This window comes from Homo sapiens, chromosome 7 (genome assembly GCF_000001405.40).
Source record: "Homo sapiens chromosome 7, GRCh38.p14 Primary Assembly".
Taxonomy (NCBI): domain Eukaryota; kingdom Metazoa; phylum Chordata; class Mammalia; order Primates; family Hominidae; genus Homo; species Homo sapiens.
The window spans coordinates 3,638,591-3,664,441 of NC_000007.14; the positions used below are offsets into that span (position 1 = coordinate 3,638,591).

Below are 25,851 nucleotides of genomic sequence, written 5' to 3' on the forward strand. Positions count from 1 at the left end.
ACATGGACACAGGAAGGGAAACATCACACACCGGGGCCTGTTGTGGGGTGGGGGGAGGGGGGAGGGATAGCATTAGGAGATATACCTAATGCTAAATGACGAGTTAATGGGTGCAGCACACCAGCATGGCACATGTATACATATGTAACTAACCTGCACGTTGTGCACATGTACCCTAAAACTTAAAGTATAATAATAATAAAATTTAAAAAAAAAAAGAAATAAATGGTGGTTCTAGTTAGTGTCATGGTTAGGGAAGGATTGCACAGATACTAGGTTACCAAAAATAAAATATTTGTTGAGCATATACTAGATGAGATGCCAGTGCTGTTTGATAAAATAGCATCTGATGGTTAGATATAACCATGAAACACTGGATATAAGCATTAACACTTCTTTTTGCTATTCAACAGGTACATTATTCCATCTTTGCAGAAGCTCGATGCTGGGTTTTACCGCTGCGTGGTGCGAAACAGAATGGGAGCACTCCTGCAAAGAAAATCAGAAGTTCAAGTCGCATGTATGTGTACAGTAAGGAGATGTCCAAATGTTAAAGAACAAAGTGTCGCTGGGGAGTCAATCAGAATCACTTTTCACCATTGTAGGAACTGAGAGTTTATCTTTGGTTCTATTTTGAGTAGAATAATTGCAAAACTCAGTGAGAGATAAGTAAGCAGCCAGCGTGGCTGGCCAGGTGAGGGGCTGTTGAGGCAAAGGGCACTTTTCTTCATTTGAAAAGACTCAGGACCCTAAGAGGCCCTGGGGAGGACGAAAAAGTGAATGGGGTGCCTTCTGTTTTAGGAATCAGCTGCTCTTAGCTTGTACTATGTTTGGATTCAAAATGTTTTTAAAGTATAAAGTTCAACCCAATTAGGTCAAAGTTCGTCATTGTCAGTTCTTTCCAGTGACGATTTGTTTAGAAATCATGCTGCACCACAAAAGGTACATGGATAGTGAGCGTCCCCGATGGCATTCATGTGATAGTGATTTATTAATTCTTTATTCAGCAGATCCATTTTGGAGAACGAAACTTTTAAAAGTAAACAAAGGAGATATCAAGAATGCAGGAAGCTTAAATTTTCATGTAGTCTTGAGGAGAAACAGGAGAGCGAACTTGGCCTATGAAAGTATTTAGTCCTTTTTCTAATTCAAAATCTATGAAGAGTAAAAATGGACTGTCTGCTTTATTTTATGTACATATGTGTATATATAATAGAGACATAACATATATAATTATATGTCATATATATGTTATATATATAAATAAATATATGTTTGAGATAGGGTCTATCTCTGTCTCTCAGGCTGGAGTGCAGTGGCACAAACATAGCTCACTGCAAGCTTGAACTGGGCTCAAGTGATCCTCCCTCCTCAGCCTCCCGAGTAGCTAGGACCACAGGTGTGTGCCACCATGCCTGGCTAATCTGGCTAATTTCTTTTGTTTTTGGTAGGGGAGGGATCGCACTGCATTGCCCAGGTTGGTCTCTAATGCCTGGCCTCAAGTGATCCTCCTGCTCCATCCAGCCTTCCAAAGTGCTGGGATTACAAGAGTGAGCTTGGCTTGTTTTACTATATTTTGAATGTATTACCAAAATTTCTCTTTGTTTAAAAGTAAGCAAAAAAATGTTATAAGATGTTAAATTACATTTTAATATATCATTATAAACTTTAGAGAACAAAAGAGCTCCTGAGTTGGGCTGTACTATTTGGTGATGACAGAATTTCCTCATTTGTCATTTTAACCCCAATTAAGTCTTGTAGCTTTCAGTGTGAGTAGATGAAATAAAATAATATCTAGTTATTTTACCATAAGCCTAATGACTGAGTGAAGTGGAGATGCTATACATGTTTGATGCTTTTTAAAATCACTAGGAAGGCTTAAATTTTTCTAAATTGTGATGCCGAAGAATGTTGCAGAATAATTGAGAACTTTTATTCAATTGAATGATTGAAAATGTAATCATTAAATAGAGTGAAGACGAATACCTAAATTATATTTTAAGAAGAGCTTCAAAATTATTAAACTCTGTTTTATAAAACTGAATTTTGCTTAATTATGTTTTTGTTTCTGTTCTGTATCTCTAGCTCTTCAATTTTTTTTTTTCTTTTTTGAGACGGAGTCTGGCTCTGTCACCCAGGCTGGAGTGCAGTGGCACAATCTTGACTCACCGCAACCTCCGCCTCCTAGGTTCAAGTGATTCTCCTGCTTCAGCCTCCTGAGCAGCTGGGATTACAGGCACCCACCACCACACCCAGCTAATTTTTGTATTTTTGGTAGAGATCGGGCTTCACCATGTTGGCCAGGCTGGTGTCAAATTCCTGACCTCGTGATCCACCCGCCTCGGCCTCCCAAAGTGCTGGGATGACAGGTGTGAGCCACTGTGCTCTGCGTTTAGATTTTTTTTTTTTAATCTTTCTTTTCTCCTTTGCTTTGATAACAAATTTCATTTTCTTTTGAAAAAACTATGAGTATTTTTCTAATCTGTTTTGTTGGTTTGTTTCATCTTTTCCCTCAAGTATTAGACACTGTCACATAGAAAATGTCTTTTGACTGAAGAAGACATTGATAATAGAGCACTTCTGTGGACTATTTCAAACTTATTTATGTTTAAATAAAAATACACTATTTTGCCATATCTGTTTGTATATATATTTACATCTGACCATAATATGGAATCTTATTCAAAATTTTCAAATGTTACAAATTTTAAAATTAGCCTTTTATACCTACATTCTAATAGCTATGTTTTGTCCTATGACCCCATTTTTTAAATTTTTTTTATCAGTAGAACAAATACTGGAACAAAAGCTAGTTGCCCCAGATTAAGTCAACAGTATGAGAGTGGGAGAATAGTATATAGACTCTTCAGTGGTTAGGAAATATTGCTCCCAAAAGATCTGTGCAGGAGACAGTGACCTCACAAATGAAGGAAACAAGCTGAAGAGAGCAAGGGCCGGTGCCGGGCTGGAACGAGTTTGAAAGATTTAGGAGCTAGGAGATGTCTGGACACATTTTCTGACAGTTTCTGAGAAAACTGCTTCACGTGGCTCTAGGATGGCTTCAGCATTTCATTTCAGTGTCACAGACAGTTGCAGACATTTCCTTGTATTGTCAGGTAGGACAAAGACCATGTGGCTTTGCTGAGGAATGTGCAGCGTGGGCGCTTTGGAGGCGCGTGGCTTGCCCGGTGCTTCACTCGCAAGCAGATCCGCGTTGGTCAGCGCTGCCGTGCAGTCTCGCTCGTCCTGGTGTGAAATGTGGCAGCATCAGTGACTTTACTGTAACACTTACCTGTTTCCATCTGTGACCCCTTCCCTCCCCCAAAAATGTTTTCTAGAACTTGAAAGCACTTCTTTTTCTCTGCAGATATGGGAAGTTTCATGGATACGGACCAGAGGAAAACAGTTTCTCAAGGACGTGCAGCGATTCTAAACCTGCTGCCCATCACCAGCTACCCCAGACCTCAAGTGACTTGGTTTAGAGAAGGGCACAAGATTATTCCAAGCAACAGAATGTAAGTTGCTCCAAACGTTAAAGCTTCAAATACAATTGTAATGTCACTTGCTGGCACCATCTACACAGTAAGTGTACCAATTAAGGTTACCGATGATTTAAAAAGAGCAAACTAGTCTAGGAGTCCTATCCTAATTTTTAATAAACAGCTATTTGAGGACTGGCTTGAATATTTTTAACCAGTTTAAGCAAATAACTGTCTAATATTATTCTTCAGAATGTTGCATGCCCTAAAACTAAAGCAGCCTTACCCAACTTTGCAGTCCATTTTTTTCTTTTCTGAGTGTACTTTTTAAGATGTCATTGTCATCCCTGAGTTGGGTTTGCCTCCTAGTACTAATTTAATGAGTGCTGGTATTTACTTACAGTGCTGTGGGGTTTTTTTTCCCCCTCCTTTTATTGAGCCATGTTTGATACTGCTTTCTCTGACGATAAAACAGTAATTACTGCTTATTTCTCTTTATCCTTTTATCCTACCATGACAGTTTTATTTCTCTTCATCTAATTAGTGGTTCACCCATCTATTGCAGAATAGTTGCTTTGTGATTAGTTAGGCAAGAACATCTTGAAATAATGCTTATCTCACATTCAAGATATTTATCTAATGCCCGACAGGTTTTCTTCACTTGGAGCTTTAAGTGATTAAAAAGAACACTTGGTATATATTTCATAACTGGACATTTTACAACCTAATTTAAAGACAATATTCCAAACATAAAGGTTTCAAGGCTGAACATTTCCAGAAGAATCATGAAATGCTATAAGCTTAGGCCAGAAGTCAGATATTTATGCCATCCAGTGGTTGCACTCAGATAAAAATTCATCAGGAGCAAATACTATTGTTGTGCTTTTTCAAAAAGAATATGTGTGAGGTCATTTGCCAAATAGATTTTACATCTAACTGTGAAAGTCACTGTGGGAACCCACCTGCTCTCTCCCCTACCTGAGCATCTGTGGAATCCCTTCCCGAAGCCTTGTGATTCTCATCTCCAACCCTACCTGAGCATCTGTGGAATCCTTTCGCTAAATCTCATGATTCTCCTCTCCACCCCTACCTGAGCATCTGTGGAATCCCTTCCTGAAGGCTCATGATTCTTGTCTCCCACCCCTACCTGAGCATCTGTGGAATCCCTTCCCTAAACCTCATGATTCTCATCTACCTGAACATCTGTGGAATCCTTTCCCTAAACCTCGTGATTCTCATCTCCCACCCCTACCTGAGCATCTGTGGAATCCTTTCCCTAAACCTGGTGATTCTCGTCTCCCACCCCCACCTGAGCATCTGTGGAATCCCTTCCCTAAAGCTGTTGATTCTCGTCTCCTACCCCCACCTGAGCATCTGTGGAATCCTTCCCCTAAACCTGGTGATTCTCCTCTCCCACTCCCACCTGAGCAACTGTGGAATTCCTTCCGTAAACCTCGTGATTCTTGTCTCCACCCCCACCTGAGCATCTGTGGAGTCCCTTCCCTAAACCTGGTGATTCTCCTCTCCCACCCCCACCTGAGCATCTGTGGAATCCCTTCCCTAAGCCTCCTGATTCTCTTCTCCCATCCCCACCTGAGCATCTGTGGAATCCCTTCCCTAAACCTCATGATTCTCATCTCCCACCCCTACCTGAGCATCTGTGGAATTCCTTCCCTAAACCTGGTGATTCTCCTCTCCCACCCCCACCTGAGCATCTGTGGAATCCTTTCCCTAAGCCCCATGTCTCCAGTCTTCTAGTTCTGGACCAGGATCTGGCTGGAACCTAAATAATAATAATTATTATTATTACTATTAATAATTATATAATACTTATAATTAATAATTATTATTTTGAGACAGAGTCCCTCTGTCACCCAGGCTGAGGTACAGTGGCGTGATCTCAGCTCACTGCAACCTTTCCCTCCCAGGTTCAAGCGATTCTCCTGCCTCAGCCTCCTGAGTAGCTGGGACTGCAGGTGTGTGTCACCATCCCCGGCTAATTTTTGTGTTTTTAGCAGAGGTGAGGTTTTACCATGTGTCCAGGCTAGTCTCGAAGTCCTTACCTCAAATGATCCACCTGCCTCGGCCTCCCAAAGTGCTGGGATTACAGGCATGAGCCACCACTTAAGCTTATTTCACAAATGTTTCTATTTTGGTTATTGGGAACAAAAATTTATATATATATATATATATATATGCATGCAGCATATTTTAAAATTCTAGTAAAAATACCAGTTACCTTAGAAGATGGGATAATTGCTATCCTTTTTTCTTTATTTAATTACAAGTTACTTAGGTATCCACCTTTATATTGATTCCAATAATAAAAGATGCCTCGAGTTTCGATGAAACAAAAATGAAGGATCAATTTTTCATTCTTAGTAGACTGTTAGGCTTTAAAAAGGCAGGTAAGGGCCATTTGCGGTGGCTTGTTCCTGTAATCTCGGCACTTTAGGATGCTGATTGCTTGAGTTTAAAGCAATCTGGAGTTTAAAAACAGCCTGGGCAACATACTGAAACCTTATCTCTACTGAAAATTAAAAAAAAATAGCTGGGTGTGGTGGCACGAACCTGTATTTCTAGCTATTTGCTACTTGGGAGGCTGAGGTAGGAAGATAGCTTGAGGCCAGAAGTTGGAGGTTGCAGTGAGCTACGATGGTGCCACTGTACTCCAGCCTGGGTGACAGAGCAAGACCCTGTCTCCAAAAAAAAAAAAAAAAAAACAAAAAACAACAACAACGGCGGGGCAGGGGGTGGCAGGCAAGATACATTCTTGTATAAATATTCTAGAAGTTTCCAGTGCTGACCACAGTATGACCAGGCAAACTTAGGATAAATGTTGGGGGAGAATTGGTACCAGGGATGGGGGGAGTTAGATTGAATTAGGCTTTCCTCTCAAGCACTGGAGCTTTTAATTAACGTCAGTGGCAGCAAAATTCATGGTGGAAGAATTCTTTCAACTTAGCAGCAAATAAGTCTGTATTAATCTACCTGTTAACCTGTGTTCTCACTATATGCATGAGACAGCACTTATTCACGAGTATGACAGGGTATAGAATGAAAGAACTTAATTTCATAAATTTTTTAAACTTGCAAATACATGCTAAAGCCTGTTTAATTCCTGGTGAGCTAATAAAGTAAAGATGCTAGAAGGGCTTTAACTTGGTGTAATATCAAACAAATGGTCTGCTTACAAGCATGAAGCTGTTGGTAAATCTCTAATCTCAGGAAAATAATGCAGTATACCATTTTTTAAAGAGATGAGATGAGGCTGATTATGGATATTTACACTTTTACAAGGCCCTTTAGTTTCGTATTTTCCACCTCATCATCACCCCAAGTCTATTAAGTACCTGCTGTGCAAGATTACATAAATCAGTATGGATATGTGTTTTTCTCCACAAATTTATACATCGTCCAAAGACATATAGCTTTCACATCCCAAGTACACTGATTTGATCTTTACAAATTATATGAATATTAAATGATCACATGTACCCTGAAACTATGTACATCTATTATGCACTAATAAAAAGTTTACCTGTTTAAAAATTAAAAAATCTAGATGCGAAAACCCAATATATTGCTTTCCATGTCTAAGAAAGTACAGTTTTTGACTGAAGATGGGAGGGTATCTCTGCATTCCTCGCACCCACGGGATTGGTAGCACAAGTCAGATGGCATCATATTTGTTATATACCCACAGAGATGCCATTTAAAAACTAGAGCATTTGACTCAAGGTGCTTCCCACATATTGAAATGCAGGTGAAGTTTCTGCACCTATTTTTTTTTTATTTTTATTTTTTGAGATGGAGTCTTGTTCTGTTGCCCAGGCTGGAGTGCAGTGGCCCAATCTAGGCTCACTGCAACCTCTGCCTCCCGAGGTCAAGCGATGTTCCTACCTCAGCCTCCTGAGTAGCTGAGATTACAGGCGCACCCCACTATGCCCAGCTGATTTTTGTCTTTTTAGTAGAGATGGGGTTTCACCATGCTGGCCAGGCTGGTCTCGAACTCCTGACCTTGTGATCCACCCACCTCGGCCTCCCAGAGTGCTGGGATTATAGGCGTGAGCCACCACACCCAGCCTTTCTGCACCTATTTTTAACCTCCTTGTGTGAGTTTGGTTCCCTAATACGTGCACCTTTGTCATGTGGTGAAAGCAGTTCATTTTCTCTCCCCACCTCCATGTTTAAACATTACCTCATTATCTGCCTTTAAAATGTGGGCTTTAGGCTTATAATTAAATGATTTTTTTTTTCATTTTCAAGGGAAACAGTAAGTCTAATGTTTTCTAACTTGAAAAATAAGTTGAATATCCTATTAATAATCTTAACAGGAGCTATTATTTATTGAGTACCTACTTTAAACATATCTTCTCTAATCCTCACAATTGCCTTCTGAGGCAGGTATAATTAGCTCTATGTATAGTTATCAGAATGGAAGATTATGGATGTTAAATTACTTACCCCAGGGCCCCCAGCCAATACACACAGAGCCAGGGTTCACACCCGGGTCTGCCTGACACTCAGTCTCATGCTCACTTCTGGATCAGCCTGATTCTTTCCACTTTATTGGCTGATAATTTTTTATGTTTTTGATTATTTTTTCCATACATTGCTCTAGTCTTTCTCATCATTTAGAAGACCAGCTTTCAACTTGAAAAGACATGGATTAACCTGGGTTTGCATAGAGGGGTTGAAAAGTGTCAGAGGCTGGTATGTTTTGAAAGTAGAGACAATCTACAATTATCTCAGATACTATGTTTAATTAAAAATAGGTGGAAAAGGTTAAATACCTTATGATTCCACTCACACAAGATAATTAGAGTAGTCAAATTCATAGAGACAGAAAGCAGAACATTGGTTGCCAGGGACTTGGGGGAAGGAGGGAGTGGGGAGTTATGTTTAATGGGTACAGAGTTTCACAAGATGGAAAGATGTGCTGAAGATGGATGATGGTGATGATCGCACAACAGTGTGAATGCACTTAATGCCACTAACTATACTTAAAAGTGGTTAAAATAATTAATCTTAGGCCACGGATGGTGGCTCACACCTGTACTCCCAGCGCTCTGGGAGGCCAAAGCAGGAGGATGGCTTGAGCCCAGTAGCTTGAAGCTGCAGTGAGCTGTGATCACGCTATAGCAGTCTAGCCTGGATGGTAAAGTGAGACCCTCTCTCTATTTTTTAAATTATATTTTACCACGATTTTAATTGTCTTTTTTTTTCCAAAACAAAAAATAACGTCTTCCAAAGACTTCCCACTGTGTACAGATTAAAATCCAGATTCCTTCCCACATTCTGGGGCTACAGGGCCAGAGTCTCTTGCAGTTTAGCAAATACATCAAGCTCTTTTCTGTTTTGAAAGTTGGAGACAGTCTTGCTCTGTCTCCCATGCTGGAGTGAAGTTGAAGTGGCATGATCTCAGCTCACTGCAACCTCCAACTCCAGGGCTCAAATGATTTTCGTGCTTCAGCCTCCAGAGCACCTGGGATTACAGGCGTGCGCCACTATGCCTGGCTATTTTTTTTTGTATTTTTATTGGAGACTTTGTTTCACCATGTTGCCCAGGCTGGTCTCGAACTCCTGACTTCAGGCAATCCACCCGCCTCTGCCTCCCAAAGTGCTGGGATTACAGACCACCGTGCCCGGCCAGTTTTAGGTGGTTTTGACCACCTAAAATGTTTTTGTTTTTCTACCTACATTTGGCCTCTTGGTATGCATAGGAGATACACAGTGCTGGAATGGCTGGATGAATGAATGTGAAGAAAAGTCGTGTAATGTCCACAGACATCTTCAGCAGAAGGGGAAAAAAAATGAGAACAAACCTCAAGGAAAAACGCTGTTGATGAGGCAGAAAAAATATCTTGGAAAGACGAACAGTATATTGAGAGAATTGAAAATAAGTTATATTCAGAATTTGAATAGGTAATTACAGGTTTTATCTGAGAAGTTGAAAACCCCATACATTTATTTTTCTGATTTACTGAGTCCAAAGTTTGCTATCTTTGCATATCAAAGATGAGCTTAGCTTTGTCATATAAATACAGTCTAATTTGATAATAAAATTGTTCTGTGTTATTTTGGTTTAGATATATTTTCTTTATTTCCATTTATTTCTCAAAATATGAAATGTGAATATCGATGCCATGCTGTACTTCTCTTTCCTCCACGACGTTATTTATGTTGGTAGTTATCAGATTAGAACACAAAATCTTAACTCTGTACAGTGCCATTCTTGTGCTTAATTGCAGGTTCTTGTGCTCAAATTGCATCCTGTAGCCTACCTGACAGGAATGTGCAAGCACAAGTATTCTTGAATGTTTTTTTCCTGGAAATGCAAAGTTTATAGATGAATGTTTCAAACCTTCAGTCAGCTTTGCAATAGACAACTTGCCAGTAATGATCTGGATTGTGAAGTATGGGCAGTAAACAGCATCCCAGGTGACTCAGAAACAGTCTGATTCATAATTGTCCATGCTTAAATACTTGAACATCCATTAACTTATTACCATTTCATTTCAATTTCTTCAAGAAAGATTTGTTTAAATTAGCGCTTGCATTGGAAGTCACAACTTAATGCTCGAATGAAGTAGATCTGGTTGTAATAATGTTTTTATAGTTAACTAGGCTTTCAAAATAATGTGCTTTTAAAATTTTATATTTTATAGGCATTTTGTGAATGTTTATAGAGTATATGTGTGAACCGAGCCATATTTGGTATAAGTAAAACAGACGAGTAGATACGGGTTCCAGGCCTGCTTTCACCGTAATTCTGACCTTGGGAAAATTACTTATTCTCCCTTTGCCTCCATTTTGCCATGTCGATGAAAAGGGTTTTCTAATCACTTCTGCAATCCTTTCTGGTATTAATGTTCAGTGCTGCTGTTAAGGAAGGGGGTGCCATGGCAGTTGTTCTTCCCCTCCCTCTCTTTCTTCCTTCATGCATCCATGGACATTTCCTGAGCACTTAATTAGTGCCAGCCACTGTTCTGCTTGCCAGGGACAGAAAGGGGAATTGAGGCATCCCACGTGTGCCCCTCAGTGGGTGTGTTCTGATATGAAGCAGGTAATACACAGGACACTTTGGGGTGAGGGTCGTGCTGCCACGCTGAGAAGACATGGATGGGTGGGAAGAGAGTCCTAAGCTGGAGGGGGTTGAATTGAGTGACTAAGGACAGGTCCTCTGTGGAGGTGACATTTTAAAAAACACCTTATAGAGTTATAATTTGTATATAACAAAATGCGCATTTTCAAAGTTCATAGATGGATGAATTTCAATAAATATGTGCACAGAAGAAATTGCCATCCCAATCAAGAGAGTTCGTGGGCCCCTCCTGCTGTTGGTATGCATTCCTGCAGCTCTGCCCTCCTGCTTGTCTAATTTCTATTACTGCAGGCTAGATGACCTGCTCTAGAATTTCACACAAATGACATCATTGAATATGAAATCCTTTTTCTAGCTTCATTCATTCAACATCATTTCTGTGGTATTCTCAATGTGATCCTTAATAATAATAATAATTAATGATTTTTGAGTGCCAGGCACTGTTTTAAGGATTTTATTTATAACAATTCACTTAATCTTCACGGCAGCCCAGCGGTTTAGTACTGTTATTATCGTGGCTTTCCTGATGAGAACTAAGGCAGAGAGAGGCCAGCAGTTGGCCGGCGTGGGAGCCACTTGACTCCTAAGTCCACACCGTTCCACCGTGTATATGAGGCTGTTCTCCCAGGTTAATGTCTGCAAGATGGGAAGGAGCCAGCCCTGTAGAGCCCCAGAGGATGAGTGTTCTAGGCACAGAGGCCAGAAACAGAAAAGAGCTTGATGTATTTGCTAAACTGAAAGAGACTCTGACCCTGTATCCCCTGAATCTGGGAAGGAATCGATTTTATTCTGTACACAGTGGGAAGTCTTTGGAAGAGGTTGCTATTTTTTGTTTTGAAAAAAAAAAAAAGGCAATTAAAATTGTGGTAAAACATAGTTTAAAAAAAATAGAGATAGGGTCTCACTTTATCATCCAGGCTAGACTGCCATGGCATGATCATAGCCCGCTGCAGTTTCAAGCTCCTGGGCTCAAGCCGTCCTCCTGCTTTGGCCTCCCAGAGCGCTGGGAGTACAGGTGTGAGTCACCATCCCTGGCCTAAGATTAATTATTTTAACCACTTTTAAGTATAGTTAGTGGCACTAAGTCCATTCACAGTGTTGTGCAATCATCACCATCATCCATCTTCAGCACATCTTTTCATCTTGTGAAACTCTGTACCCGTTAAACATAACTCCCCACTCCCTCCTTCCCCTAGTCCCTGGAAACCACTGTTCTGCTTTCTGTCTCTATGAATTTGACTACTCTAATTATCTTGTGTGAATGGAATCATATGGCATTTATCCTTTTCCACCTATTTTTAATTAAACGTAGTATCTGAGATAATTGTAGGTTCACATACAGTCAAAAGAAATAATGTAGGGTGATTTTATGTACCTTGTAGCTAGTTTTCCTGAGTGTTGAGATCTTGTTAAACTGTGTTACGGTATCACAACCAGGATACTGACTTTGATACATCAACAAACAGAAGGTTTCTGTCAATACTAGGATTTCTCTTATTAACCTTTTATGGCCATAACTACTTTCCTCTTGCCCTCATCCCCTTCTTAAGCCCTAATAATCACTAATCTGCTTTTCCTTTCTAAAGTTTTGTCATCTCAAGAATGTTGTGTAGACAGAATCATGCAGTATGTGACCTGTGGGGATTGGTTTTTTTTTTTTTTTTAACTTAGTATAATTCCCTGATTCATCCAGGTTATTGTCTGAAGCCTAGTTGGTTTCCTGTTGTTGTTGTCTAGTGTTTCTTGGTGTGGCCATAATGTGTAGTTTATAATCATTCACCTGTTGAAAGCAATCTGGATTGTATCCAGTTTTTGGCCATGATGAATAAAGTTGCTATAAACATTCTTGTTCCTTTTTTCTGTGCATGAACATAAGACTTCATTGTGTTCATACACACACATGCCCAGGAGTGGAATGACTGGGCTGTATGGTATTTGCATGTTTAGTTTTAGTTTTTTTTTTTTTTTTAAATGCCAAACTGTTTTCCAGAGTGGCTGTACCATTTTGTAATCCCACCAGCAATGTACGAATGATTGCGTTTCCCTGCTTCCTCACTAGCATTTGGTGTTGTCATGATTTTTTATTTTAGTCATTCTCATAGGTGTATAATGATATCTTCTTGTGTTTTTAAATTTTCACTTCTCTAATGGCTAATGATGTTGAACATCTCTTAATGTGCTGATTTTAAAAAGAATGAAATTAGAAAAAAGCAAACTTCTTGTTGTGAGAAATGTGTTCATTTATTTGAAAAGTCAGTTGAATGGGTGAAAGAGCAGACAATATGCAGCTAAAGTGAGACTTATTGTTCTGATCTGAAGAAATTACTCAGAATAAAACACAGAGGAAAAAATATGGAAAATCTAGAAGGAAGGCCAAGAGATCTAGAGGACAGAGTAATCAATAGACGTCCGATGGAGAAAATGGGGGATAGATACTATGCAGAGACCAATGCTATGACGTTTCCTAAGATGATGACTCTTCACAGTCCAGAAGCAGAATGAGCTCCAAGTAAGATAAATAAAGTAAATCCAAATCTATACATATTATGGTGTAACTGCAGAACATCAAAGACAAAGAAGAAACCTTAAGACAACCATACATGTAATTCAGGTTGCCTCAGAGGAACGGCAATCAGAAGATAGCTGAGAGCAGTAATAGAGAACAGAGGGGAATGATGTCTTCGAACGCCAAGGGATGGAACTGCTGCCATGGAGTTCCGTGTCAGCTAAGCCAACGATCCCAAGTCGGGGAGACAGGACGGTATTTTCAGACAAGCCTGAGAATTTATATTTCCGAGAAGATTGCTGAAGGATCTATGAATGAGTTTGAGGAAGAAGGATACTGAATCTAGAAGGCAATGCAGGGTTAGAAATATTGGCCTCCGTTTTATGTTCTCTAGTTAGGAAATATTTAGTAATTGGAGTGTTTAAATATTTAGATATTAGATGAGGAAGTGGAGACAGCAAGTTGAGACAACTCTTTGGGCATTTTTCTTGTGAGCGGCTGCAGAGAAACCGCGCGTGTCTCTGAGGACACGAAGTCAAGAGAGCTGGTTTTTTCTTACCATGGGGGATCCCAGCTATTATTTATGTATTAATGGAAGTTCTCCAGTAGAGAAGGAGAATGTGAAGAGCCAGGAGAGAGTGAGGATGCCAGGGGGAACAAAGTCCTGGCAAATGTGACCTGGACATGCACAGACAAGCCTGGGAAGGAGGGCCTGGAGTCATGTGGCACGGCCTTCATGGTGGCATGCGGTGGCCCCTCATGGCCTCACAGCTTCCACTCTAACAGGACGGAGCCAGAATATGCGCACGGATGCATGTGGTTTGGTAAACGTGCTTGTGGAAAATTGAGAGATTTCTCGTGGATTTTTATTTTCTCTATGAATATGGGGATGAGTTTAGAAGTTTAGAGTGAGGGCTGGTGTGAGAAGAGAGAGTATTAGGTTATCATTCAGACAGTCAGAAGCGAACTAGGGAAACATGCCAGACTTATGGGGACTTTTGAGAGCAAGGGCACAGTTGCAGTTTGTGGTGATGGATATCTTCAGTAAAGTTTGGAAGTTCTGATGCCACTGTAGAGAAGGCAGCTGATTGGGTTCACACAAGGTTGAAGTGTAGCCTAACTACCATGTGGAATTCAGAAGCGAGGGTCATGTTGAGGCTGTCTGCAAGGGAGTGATGAGTCTCGATTGTCTCCGAGCTTTATAAGAGAGGAGGTGAAGGATGTTCCAGTAGGATAGAATCAGAAGACTGCAGGAGTCTATTGACTGGAAGAATAATTGCAGTGGGCAAAGAAGTGGGTGGACTGAGCACCTCACGTCCTCTCTTCCTCACTTTGGCTATTCCATTCAGTGCCAAACAGTGGACTTCTCCCCCACTTGGAAGGAATCTGGTGACGCAGATGAGAAAAGTCGCAGGCTTAAACTTGTGTGGGGTGAGCTTGAATCCTTAGGGAATCAGCGAATGCTTGAGTGCAGGTGGATCAGCAGACAGATTACTGACGCCACCCCAGCTGACTGTTAGGTGACACATAGCTTCGTGCAGCCTCTCTGAAGTCATCCTGTGGGTCACCCCTCCTTCCTCTGTGCTTTCCCCTTCCCTCCTCACTCCAGGGTCCACGTGTAAGCTGTTGTAGGCGTTCTGTTTTCTTGAAAAACTCGGTTGTCACTTGGGGTATTTGAAATCTAGACTTAGAATGGCACTTTTGTTGGGATTGACAAGGTTTAGGGAGAGACCATGAGGATGGGGGCCAAGATTGCATGGAGGGGCAGATCAGTGGTGGTGAGAAGTGTAAGACTCCAAGGCCACAGTGTTAGAGTAGATGGTAACATGGATGTAAAGCCACCAGGGAGGGTGGCAGGAGAAGCCAGTGGAGGAAGGTAGGGATTCCAGGGCTACAGTCCTCAGGAAATGGAGAGGGAAGGAGGAATTAGAACCTCAGTAGGGAACAGCATTGAGAATAAACGCATCCCAATCACATGGGCCTCAGAGGAACTGGGATTTGGAAGGTGGAAGAGGAGAAACGGGTTGGGAGTGCTGGCTCACAGCTGTGATGAGGGTTTGCTCTAGCTAGACTAGACAAAGTGAAGGCCTTCTGGAGCTGCTCCTTTGGGTATTTGGCTGCAGGACCTTGCAGCTTAGAATCTCACCTAGTGGGTTTCTGCTCTGTTGCACTTCAGCTTCACTTATGAAGCAGAGAGGATGATCTCTTCCTCCTGGAGCAGTTGTGAGATTTAACAGAAGAGAATGAGCAAGAAAGTGGTTTGCCAAGTAATGTTCAGAGATGGAGAGTATATGCTATATGCCGCCCCTCAAAAAAGGTATGCAGGGGTGTTCAGGTAAAAAACGTTCATCTTTCTGTGGCTCTCTGGCTGGCAGTGCACGTAGCTGTCTCTGTAACTTAGAGAGGACGTGGGAGGAAGGACCCTGGTGTAGAGAATATGCTGGAGCCATGGGCAGCCCCTGTGCCCCACCGTGCTTCTGTAAATGTCACACTGCTCCTCCAAATGCTGGTTTGTAAAATCTAGAAAGTTCTTTTCGTTGTTGTTCTCACCACATCCAGGAAGATGGGGCACAGCGGGAGTCCCCTTGTCTGAACTGCTCTTATCCTGGGGCAAATTAGTGTCCCTCAACGTGAGTAAGAAGATGGAAAGCGCCACATTGCTTTCATGAATAGTCTGCAGACTGCTGATGAGCTCCCTGTCACCGCGCTTTATTCCAGAGCCTCACCGTGCAGAGCGAGAGGTGGACTCCGATGCTTGTGAGGATTTCGTGTTTTCTTTCAGATTGTCAGGTAGTGCGATAAAGGGTTACCTTATAAGCAATAATAGGTCAGGATATGGGCTGTTGCCCACAGTAAGTTTGACATCTACACCATCACATGACGCAGTTGGACTTAATGAAGGTCACTCAAGTGTCTTCTCTTTTGGTGATGCTTGTTGGGCACCTGTCTGCAGGTAGATGACACTGTCCCTGCTGCTTCAGGAGAAAGGGCACATCACAGATAGAGAAACGTTTCTGTGCCAAGTGAATAGCCCAAGAGCATGGGGGATGGGGATCGTAGAATTGCTTGGTTCCATTCGAGTTGGCCATGTAGTATCTAACTTAAATGACAGGAGTTTAATATTCTATGTACCAATTTTTCACTGGAAATAAAATACTTCATTTCACATGAGCATATCTTGTGACAATAATGCATTTCTTTACCAATATTAGCCCATTATACATCTGAAGTCAGTTGCACATAATTGCAGTTCACCAACTCTACATAATACTTTAATTAAAACTAGGATAATTAAAATACAGTTTTAATGAACAATAAATTCTGAAGTTGCCAGGCCTGGAATGTGTTAGTTGAATCATAGCTTGCTTTTTTTTTTTTTGGCTCTTAAATCTGTACCCACATTATATTTTGAAATGGCAATGATCACAATCAAGAGGCATTTTAAATGCATATAATAGTATGTACTAAAGGCCAGGCAGGTGACTCACACCTGTAATCCCAGCACTTTGGGAGGCTGAGGCAGGCAGATCATCTGAGGTTGGGAGTTCAAGACCAGCCTGACCAACATGGAGAAACACTGTCTCTACTAAAAATACAAAATTAGCCAGACGTGGTGGCGGGTGCTTGTAATCCCAGCTACTCGGGAGGCTGAGGCAGGAGAATCACTTGAACCCAGGAGGTGGAGGTTGCGGTGAGCCGAGATCGCAGCATTGCTCTCCAGCCTGGGCAACAAGAGCGCAACTGTCTAAAAACAAAACAAAACAAATATATATATATATATATATATATATATATATATATATATATATATATATATATATGTATGTATGTATATAAAATGTGCTAGTAAATCATATCTTTCCTATGGCTGTCTTATATATCTGTCTATCCCTCTTACATACACTTGCTTATTTGCTGCTAATTGTAATCCCAGAAATGAGGAAAAGGTTTTATTTTTGAAGGCCCAGCAACTTAAAACAGCACCTGGTCATACTAAGTAGTGAATATTTATTGAACAAATAGATAAGTGTTTCTTGGATGAATATATAAATAATAGCACATGGTTTGTTCTGGGGAGATGGTGTGAGACTAAGTACACTAGATCGAGACTCAGAAAACAGGTTTCAGTCCCGGCCCTGCCACGTGGTCGCTGTGTGACCTTGGGAAGATCAGTTAGCTATTCTCAAGGAAGTTGAGATAAGGGTATATATCAAATGGAAATAATGCTGGCCACCTCACCAGTGTCTGGGAAATAGGATTGGGTGCGTTTATTTGATAAATTGAATATACATGTGGAAACCCTGTCTAAACCGTGAAGTACGCATGGTGTGGTGGGATTGTGACCCCACCTCTGCTCACGGTGTTCTCCAATTGTCTACATGAGCACACATTAGTATTCACAGCCAGCTGTTTCTCAGCTCATTTGGAACTTTGTATGTTTTAGGTAGTTTTTGCATAATGAATTTTCAGCCCTTGGTTGGTGATACCTTGTAAGTAGATATGCCCCCTCCATCCTTCCCTTCTCCTTTACTTCCATCCCATTTGTAATGTCCTTGGGAAACTCAAGTGAGTCCCACTGCTGTTGGCTCCTAAGAGAGACATTTTTGCTGCCTGTGTATCTGCTAGATAGTTTGTTTCACAGTCAAATATAAGTGACTTTTACTAGCTTTTTTCTGGACTATTAGTGTCAGTGCTACTCTCCCCAAACACAGGTCATTTGTTCCTCTGACAAATACCTCCTTGCACTGACATTTTCTTCTGGAAGTCACTCCCGAAGTGCAAAATTCCCTCAAAAGCAAATGTACTTTGGACTCTAAGGGGGTACTGCTGGAGTCAAAAATTAAGAAAACTTTGTAATGCTGTTTAATTCATGACCCAGACCCAGGGCAGGGTCCTTAAGAGCTGCTTCTGGTGACACTGCAGGATACATCTCACCTGTACCCCTGTGGAAAGCCAAGGGTCAGTGGGACTCAACCCATACATGCTCCTTGGGAACTCTCTCTCATGACAAGCCTGGTCTTATCTGGTCTTATCTCAGGGTGTTTTGGTGGAAATCTTTTTTTTTTTTTTTTTTTGAGACGGAGTCTCGCTCTGTCGCCCAGGCCGGACTGCGGACTGCAGTGGCGCAATCTCGGCTCACTGCAAGCTCCGCCTCCCGGGTTCACACCATTCTCCTGCCTCAGCCTCCCGAGTAGCTGGGACTACAGGCGCCGGCCACCGCGCCCGGCTAATTTTTTGTATTTTTAGTAGAGACGGGGTTTCACCTTGTTAGCCAGGATGGTCTCAATCTCCTGACCTCATGATCCACCCGCCTCGGCCTCCCAAAGTGCTGGGATTACAGGCGTGAGCCACCGCGCCCGGCCTTGGTGGAAATCTTGACTGTCAAAGTTACCTTCTCCCCCACAAAGGAGGAGGGGGAAAGCTGCCGTCTAGAAGGAACCCTAGGGAGAAAGGGATGTGCTTGGAGGTCAAGAAGAGTCACAGGGTGTGTGTCCCACCCAGGGCATTCGTGCACCTTAGGGCTGGGGCCATGAGGAGGCTGTAAACTGGAAAGATCAAGGCAGTCGTACAAAGACAGGGCAAAACATGCTAAACAGATGAGAGGCAGACAGCTGCAGCTGTCTGGAGGTGCTGTCACAGTTGGCACCCAGTGTCTACAGGGTGGGTTCCCTCTTTGTGGAAAGGGAGGTAGCATTCCCGGGTGGGGCACAGCACACCCTGCCGAGTCCTGGAAAGAGGGTGAGGAGCGTCACTGTCTGGAAATTCAGGGTCCTACCCAAATGTGAAGTGTGTGGAGGCAGGGTGGTGTGGAAGGCACACTGGATTTAAAGCAGGAAGAGGGACTGTGAGAGCCAGCTGTGCTCTCTCGTCACTTTCTGCCTGTGAGCAAGCCTGACTTAATGTTTAGGGGACTCGGGTTTTTTTCCACCTGTGAAATGGGGTCAAGCCATCTGTTTGGCCTCTGAGGAGGTGTGGAAGGAGCTGGCCATCCTCAGGAGGGGGACATTCCTGGAGGCAGGGCCAGGCAGCGTGCAGCCTATGCAGATGATGTGGAGGCACGTATGTTTTTCTTATCTTTCTGCGAGACTACTCTAAATCTTCACGACATGCTAGTAAAGAAAGCAGAGGAAGTCTTATCACACCAATTTTGTGGATGACTGCAGGGGGAAAGAAAGTGGCTAAATGATATAAGGTCAAGTCATCTGTCAGACATAGAGCCGAGGATGGAGGTTGGCATTTGAATGATACCTTTGTCATCATTTTCGTGAATGTTTATGACAAAGTGGGTCTCAGCCTGCCCATGAGGGTGGTGAAATGGCCAAAGGGTCCTGCACAGGCCTTGGGCCCCGTGATGCTTGGTGTCTAAAGGCAAGTGCCCGACTTCGGTGGGGCTCCTTCTCTTCATCTGTAGAGTGCAGGTGATAACACCCTGGCTTGCCCGCCTCACAGGACTTTTACTTTGGTGCGTGATGATCACATCCCCTCACAGGTGTTAAGAGCCCTTTGTGAATCATGAACTGTCATAGCCGTGAGGTGGAATCATTTTCTCATGAGGGCCCATTCTTTGCTGTAATGAGATCTGACCAAGCCTGGTTCTGTCTAATTCCTACAGCATTTGCTTCCAAGTGACAGCCCCTAATATCGAGGTCATCCTTCATTTATTCTTTCCTCCAGTCAATCAGTGAGCACTGTGCTAGGCTCTGCGGATAAAAAGATCAATACAATGAGTCTGGCTTCTGAAGGGCTCACATTCTGCTGAGTGGGATACAGCCATCTTTTAGTTCATCTCATGTAGTCTTTAAGGAAAAAAAAAAACTTTATTGAGATGTAATTTACCTACCGTAATGTTCACATTTTCACAAAAGCACCTAATTCAGTGGTTTTTAGTATATTCACACGGTAGTAGAGCTGTCACTACTATCTTCTTTTTTTTTTTTTTTTTTTTGAGACAGACTCACAGTCTGTCATCCAGGCTGGAGTGCAGTGGATCGATCTCCACTCACTGCTGCAACCTCCACCTCCCAGGTTCAAGAAATCCTCATGTCTCAGCCTCCTGAGTAGCTGCGACTACAGACACCTGCCACCACACCTGACTAATGTTTTTTGTATTTTTAGTAGATATGTGGTTTCGCCATGTTGGCCAGGCTGGTCTCAAATTCTTGACCTCAGGTGATCCGCCCACTTCAGCCTCTCAAAGTGCTGGGATTACAGGTGTGAGCCACCATGCCTGGCCCATCACCACTATCTAACAGAATATTTCCATCACCCCAGAAGAAAACCCTGTACCCCTTGGCAGTCACTCATCTTTCTTCCCACTTCTCAGGCCTGGCAACCACACATCTACTTCTCGTCTATATGAATTTGCCTATTCTGTCACTACCTAACATGTGACCTTTTGACACCTTAAATAGCCTTTACCCAGTTGTCTTTTTCGCTTTCTTTTTCTTTTGTCCTTTACTGATCATCATTAAATATTTCACCGGGTTCTTTTTTGGTGCCTTTCCTGGACTACGTTCTGTGGGGGTAAAGAAGGGACATTCCTTCTTTCCTTGAATGTATGCTTCCTGAATGTCAGCTGCCCTGGTCGGTACTGGTATGATATCACATAGGTTCCTGTTCTCAGAATTTCCAGCCTGGTAAGGATAAACTGACCAAAAAATGGGCAAAAACCAAACACATAAAGAAAGTCAGGTGATGAAAGAAAACCCTGTCCACAGATATAATATTTATACCAAAATTTGAAGAAAGGGAAGGAGCCAGCGACTTGAAGAAATGGGGCTGGACATCTGCGTTTAGTGTTTGCAAAGGAGCTCAGGTGGCAGAGAGCCTGGTGTGTTCCAAGGCCGAAAGGGGGCCTGTGTGGTACATTCTCCGAGGAGAGTGGCCCAAAGTGACGTCGGCAGGGACTAGATTGTGCTGGGTTTTGTCTGTGGAAACGAGTGAATTTTCTCCACGTGTAGTGGGGTGGATTTATACCAGGAGAAGGCCATGATCTGATTGGCTTTAAGAAAACCAGGCTGCTTTGTGAAGAATAGAGAGTAAGGGGCAGAAGGAGAAGCGGAGAGAATACGTAGGAAGCTTCTGCAAATGCCCCGGCAAGGGGGACTGGCAGCCCAGATGAAGACAGGGTGGATGACGTGGAGAAAAGTGGATGAATGAAAGTGTAGGTTAAAAGTAGAATCCACAGGGCCAAAAGAGGGATTTGGGATGTAGTGGAGTTAAGCTTCTTGCTTCTGATTAGAGCCCTTGGGGGAATCTTTTACAGAAATGATGACAACTGGATTCAGATCGGATATGGGGCTTGTTCAGTTTGAGATGCCCGTGAAGTATCTGGTGACAACAATTAACCAGATGTTTGTAAACACACGAGTCTTTAGCTTAAAGGAAAGATCAGACCGGAGACAGAATATTGGGGACAATTTGTATGTAGGTGATATTTAAGACCTTGGAAATGGTGAGTTCTTGCCTGCAGAGAGATTTCAGACACAGCAAAGAAGAGAAGCAACTGCTGAGGAGCTCTACCATGCAGAGCAGGGTAGAGAAATAAGACACCCATGAAAATATGGAAAGGGACAGCCAGAAAGGGATGGGGTAGCCAGGAGGGCCCAATACCATGGACCACCAAGAAGAGAGCTTTTCACCTGATTCTACATAAGCAGCTTGAGAAAAGCTTGAGTCAACAGGACTTGAATTCCAGCACTAAATAAGTAAACAAGCAAACACATAAATAAAGTAAGAGATCAACAAAGCATAGAAAGAGAATGGGGAAATAGGAGGGAGACAGAAGTGGAGAGAGAGAGAAAGAGAGAGAGAGATGGGAGAGCCTATCTTTCCATATCTTTTGTCACCTTTTGAGTAAAACCTGCCCATAATGGGCTCAGCTCCGCAGCCAGGTTGAAAAAAGGTCCTGTTTCACGCCCCAACATAACCATAAATTAGAAAGCCTTCTGGAAAAAAATGTGTTGTGGACAGATGAGAAAGTTTAGGATCAAACAACCATAGCAGCACTAGCTCATGCTTCACCCAGGATGATTTCTCTTCATGTTTTAGTGCTTGGTCTTTGTCATCGCTGACGGAACTGCACTGTTTTACCTTGGAAGGTTATAAATGGGGAGGCATCCTTAGAACTTATTTATCTTTGAGAGCATGAATCTTTTCTTCTTCAATCTAGACTTGCCCATTCATTATTAGATGAGGTAAATTATTATATCTGAGAGATACATTATGTCCTTTGGTGATATGTGTATACTTTAATAGTCAGGGTCTGTAGTTTAATGAGTGAAGCAATTTTGAGAATTACCTCTGCTGAGTAATTTTTGGTATTTAGAAATTACTTATGTGAAGCCTGTCCGTGTTCATGGTCATTTCAACACCTATCTCTCACTCTCTAAAATCATTGAGAATCCGTTATTGCCTACTCCAGTGATCTAGATAACCATTTACCTGAGCTTTGTTGAGTTCAGTATTCTAGCTAAAATCCTGTATCACACCAAGTACTTTGAACAACTAATTGACTATACATAACTTTATTAACTTTTTTCATATATTTTTAAGTAATGGTTATATGCAGAGAAACCATGGTTTGGTTTGAATCTGCTATGTATGGATTAACATTGCTGGATTAAATTTTAGTTAAATGTAAGAATTTTGTCTATGGAAATGCATGCAAAACAGTACTTGTGCTAATTAAAGTTGGAGAGAAAGGGGACATTAACAACCTGCCGTTGGCTTATCTCTGATCCTCTGTTGTGAGTGGAATGTCTAGTTGTGTAGTACCCCGCCTTCATCTATCACACGCTATATGAATTTAAATAAGTTGTAAATGCCCTGGATTTGATTTAGTCCTTTCTTTGATCTAGTGATGAAATAAGGAATTGTGGCTATCATTGAATTTTTGAAAAGCATCTACTGATTAAAAATTTTAAAAACTGTTTCTAAATTCTTAGTGTGAAATGCCCTCGGTTTAGCATTTTCCATTATTTTGCTGTTTTTAACATCTTCAGGAATATATATGATTTGGAAAAATGCAGTATAAAATGGTGGCTAAGAATGTAAACTCGGAAACCAGGCTGTCTGGGTTCAGACCCTGGCTGTGATACCTAATAGTTGTGTGGCCTCGGGCAAGCACCTGGGCTTCCGGGCACCACACTTTCCTGTTGTGTAAAGCTGGTGTAGTAATAACACCTGCCTCATAGCATGGCTGAGGGGGTTACCTGTTTAAGCACGTGCAACTCTAGAGGGCTTAGACTACTACCTGGGTGTAGTAAGACCGTTATTACCATTAGTGGTTCTGACAACTCTCATTATTATTACCACTTACTCAAATGTTTCAAATAGAGGAAGAGGCAACGGTTGTATTTTTTTTTTTTTTTTTTTTTTTGGTGTTCCCTTCAAGGAAATCTTGCAGAGAAAATTGCATTCTGTATATCTGGTTACTTTCATCCCATCTGGAGGCACAACAATTATTTTCTTAATCCTTTATTCGAACAAAAGTCCAAATTCTCAATAACAATAGGTAAAATGGAACTGATGGATCAGTGTTGAAATGGGTCCTACGGGAAAAGTTGTAACTAAGTTATGCAGGTTTGAAAGGTATCATCATCTGAACATCTCACAATACTCTTCAAAAAGACATCCTGTCTGGTTACACAAAAGATGGAGCATGAGCATTTTTCACAGCTCAGCACTGGGAGCCAGGGACACATCTTTGCCTAGTCCCCTGTCCTTGCCTGATACATTAGTCCTGAAAGTGGGAAACCCATGACTGTAGACAACTCTCCTAGATTCTGTTTGTCCTTTGAAAAGCCCCATTTAGCAAGGCAGAGAAGGCAGTGAGGACCCAGGCTGTCTTCCTGGAGGTCCAGAGAGAAGAAGGGTGCTGACAAGGGCCGCTGCGGGGACGATTGGGAGCTCACAGGCTTGGGTTCGGAGAAATGGTTCCTCTCTTAAGAGCACAACAGCAACAACAGATGTTTCGGGTTCTTTGTCTTCTAAATGTGTCTCACAGATGTACAGTGTTTATATACGTATATACAAATTATATACAGGTTGAGCATCCCACATCTGAAAATCTGAAATTTCAAATGCTTCAAAATCTAAAGCTTTTTGAACATCAACATGATGCTCAAAGGAAGTGCTCATTGAAGCATTTTGGATTCGGATTTCAGACTTTGGGATCTGAGATGCTTAACCCAGTATGCATTATGCAGATACTTGAAATCTGAAAAAATCTGAAATACGAAGCACTTATGGTTCCAAGCATTTTGGATAAGGTATGCTCAACCTGTAATATGTATTATGTATATGCAAGTATGCATGCATGCATAGATGTGTATGCATATATGTGTGTATGTATCAATCAGATAGTACACATATTTGATCTCATTTTGGACTTTGAAGGAGTGCATAATTAGATTATTTTGTTTCCATATTTGAAAACAAAATCTGTTTTCAATGGTAAGCAGAAAAATTGTTGAAACATCTGTTACAGTGGCAAAAGGCTCTGACTCTTGTTTAAAATGAGTAAAATTGTGATACTTACTTTTAGAGTAAGATATATAATGATAATAGTACAGTGTCCTACATCAGAGAAATGAACATCCATGTTTTTGTTTTCAAGTGGGATAATTGTAGGTGGAGTGTGTAAAAACTGAAGCTTATTTCATGCACACATAGTATCTGTTCCCTTCTGGTGTTTTTAACTAAATGAAATATATAGGGAAGTGGGATTCATGCTTGCGATGTATCTTCTCGACTTGGGGCTTGTTCTCAGGGCCTTGCTTGTTTGCATTCTGTGATGTTGTCCGCTTAGAGGTTTGTTCTTCAGCTGAGGGACCTGAACAACACAATGATGGGTAAGATGAGAGAGATTGCTGTTTAGACCATGTGGCCAGAGAGGGGGACAGTGTGTGTGACATGCAGGGTAATCACCTCATTCTGGTTTGTCCAGGACTGTCCCAGTTTTAGCACTGAGAGTCCCCTCAGTCCCTGGGCAAACCGAGATGGCTGGCCACCCTACTTGTTTATAGCTACTGTGGGTATAAAACTTGCCACACTAGAATTATGTGTTGTCCCTACCACTGTCAAAGTCTGTACATCTAAAAGGAAGTATGGAAAGTAGAAAACTAAATCTAAGATTAGCTAACTATCCTGTAAAGGCTAAGCAAGGCAGAAAGGTTTCATGAACAGAACTGAATTTCTTTTCAAAGCATTTTTCTTAGGAATGTATCATTGTCACTGTAGGAAGAAGTTGATACACTTCCATGGTATGCTAGGCTTATAAATTTGAGAAAAATTAACCACAAGATATTTCCGGGCCCCTAACATCTCATTTTGGGTACATTGTACCTTCACTCTAGTTTATTTTCCCTTTGTTCTTTTTCTGGACAACATTCAATGCTTGTTGAAACACACCTGTTGGAATTAGCCCAGTGAGCATTTCTCAGTTTGCCACTGGGAGATATTTTTCTTTCTTCTTGGTGGAATGCTTGACAAAAACATACATACCTTGAAGGGAGTGTAAAGCATGAGGCAAGTCAGAGGTGTGCGGAGGAGCTCCGTCACTGGGAGGGTCTTGACCATGGCAAATGTTGCAATGAAAAACACCAGGCTGTTAATTACCCCACAACTCAGGGCAACTCCAGCTAAAATGCCATTGCTTTGTGGCAAAGTATAACAAGAAACTCGAATCTGTGTACTCTGGTCCCTGTATGTATATTTTCTTCTGGAATATTACAGCCTTTTTCATTGTGCTTATA

General features: G+C 41.8%; 1 protein-coding gene across 1 annotated transcript in view; it reads left to right on the forward strand.

Annotated features, from left to right (window-relative positions):
- Positions 1–25,851, forward strand: part of SDK1 (sidekick cell adhesion molecule 1) — a 967,749-nt gene that overhangs the window by 337,339 nt on the left and 604,559 nt on the right. The window contains exons 3-4 of the mRNA NM_152744.4: positions 414–520; positions 3,368–3,515. Of these exons, the coding sequence (NP_689957.3) occupies positions 414–520; positions 3,368–3,515 (255 nt within the window). The remainder of the gene's footprint in view (positions 1–413; positions 521–3,367; positions 3,516–25,851) is intronic.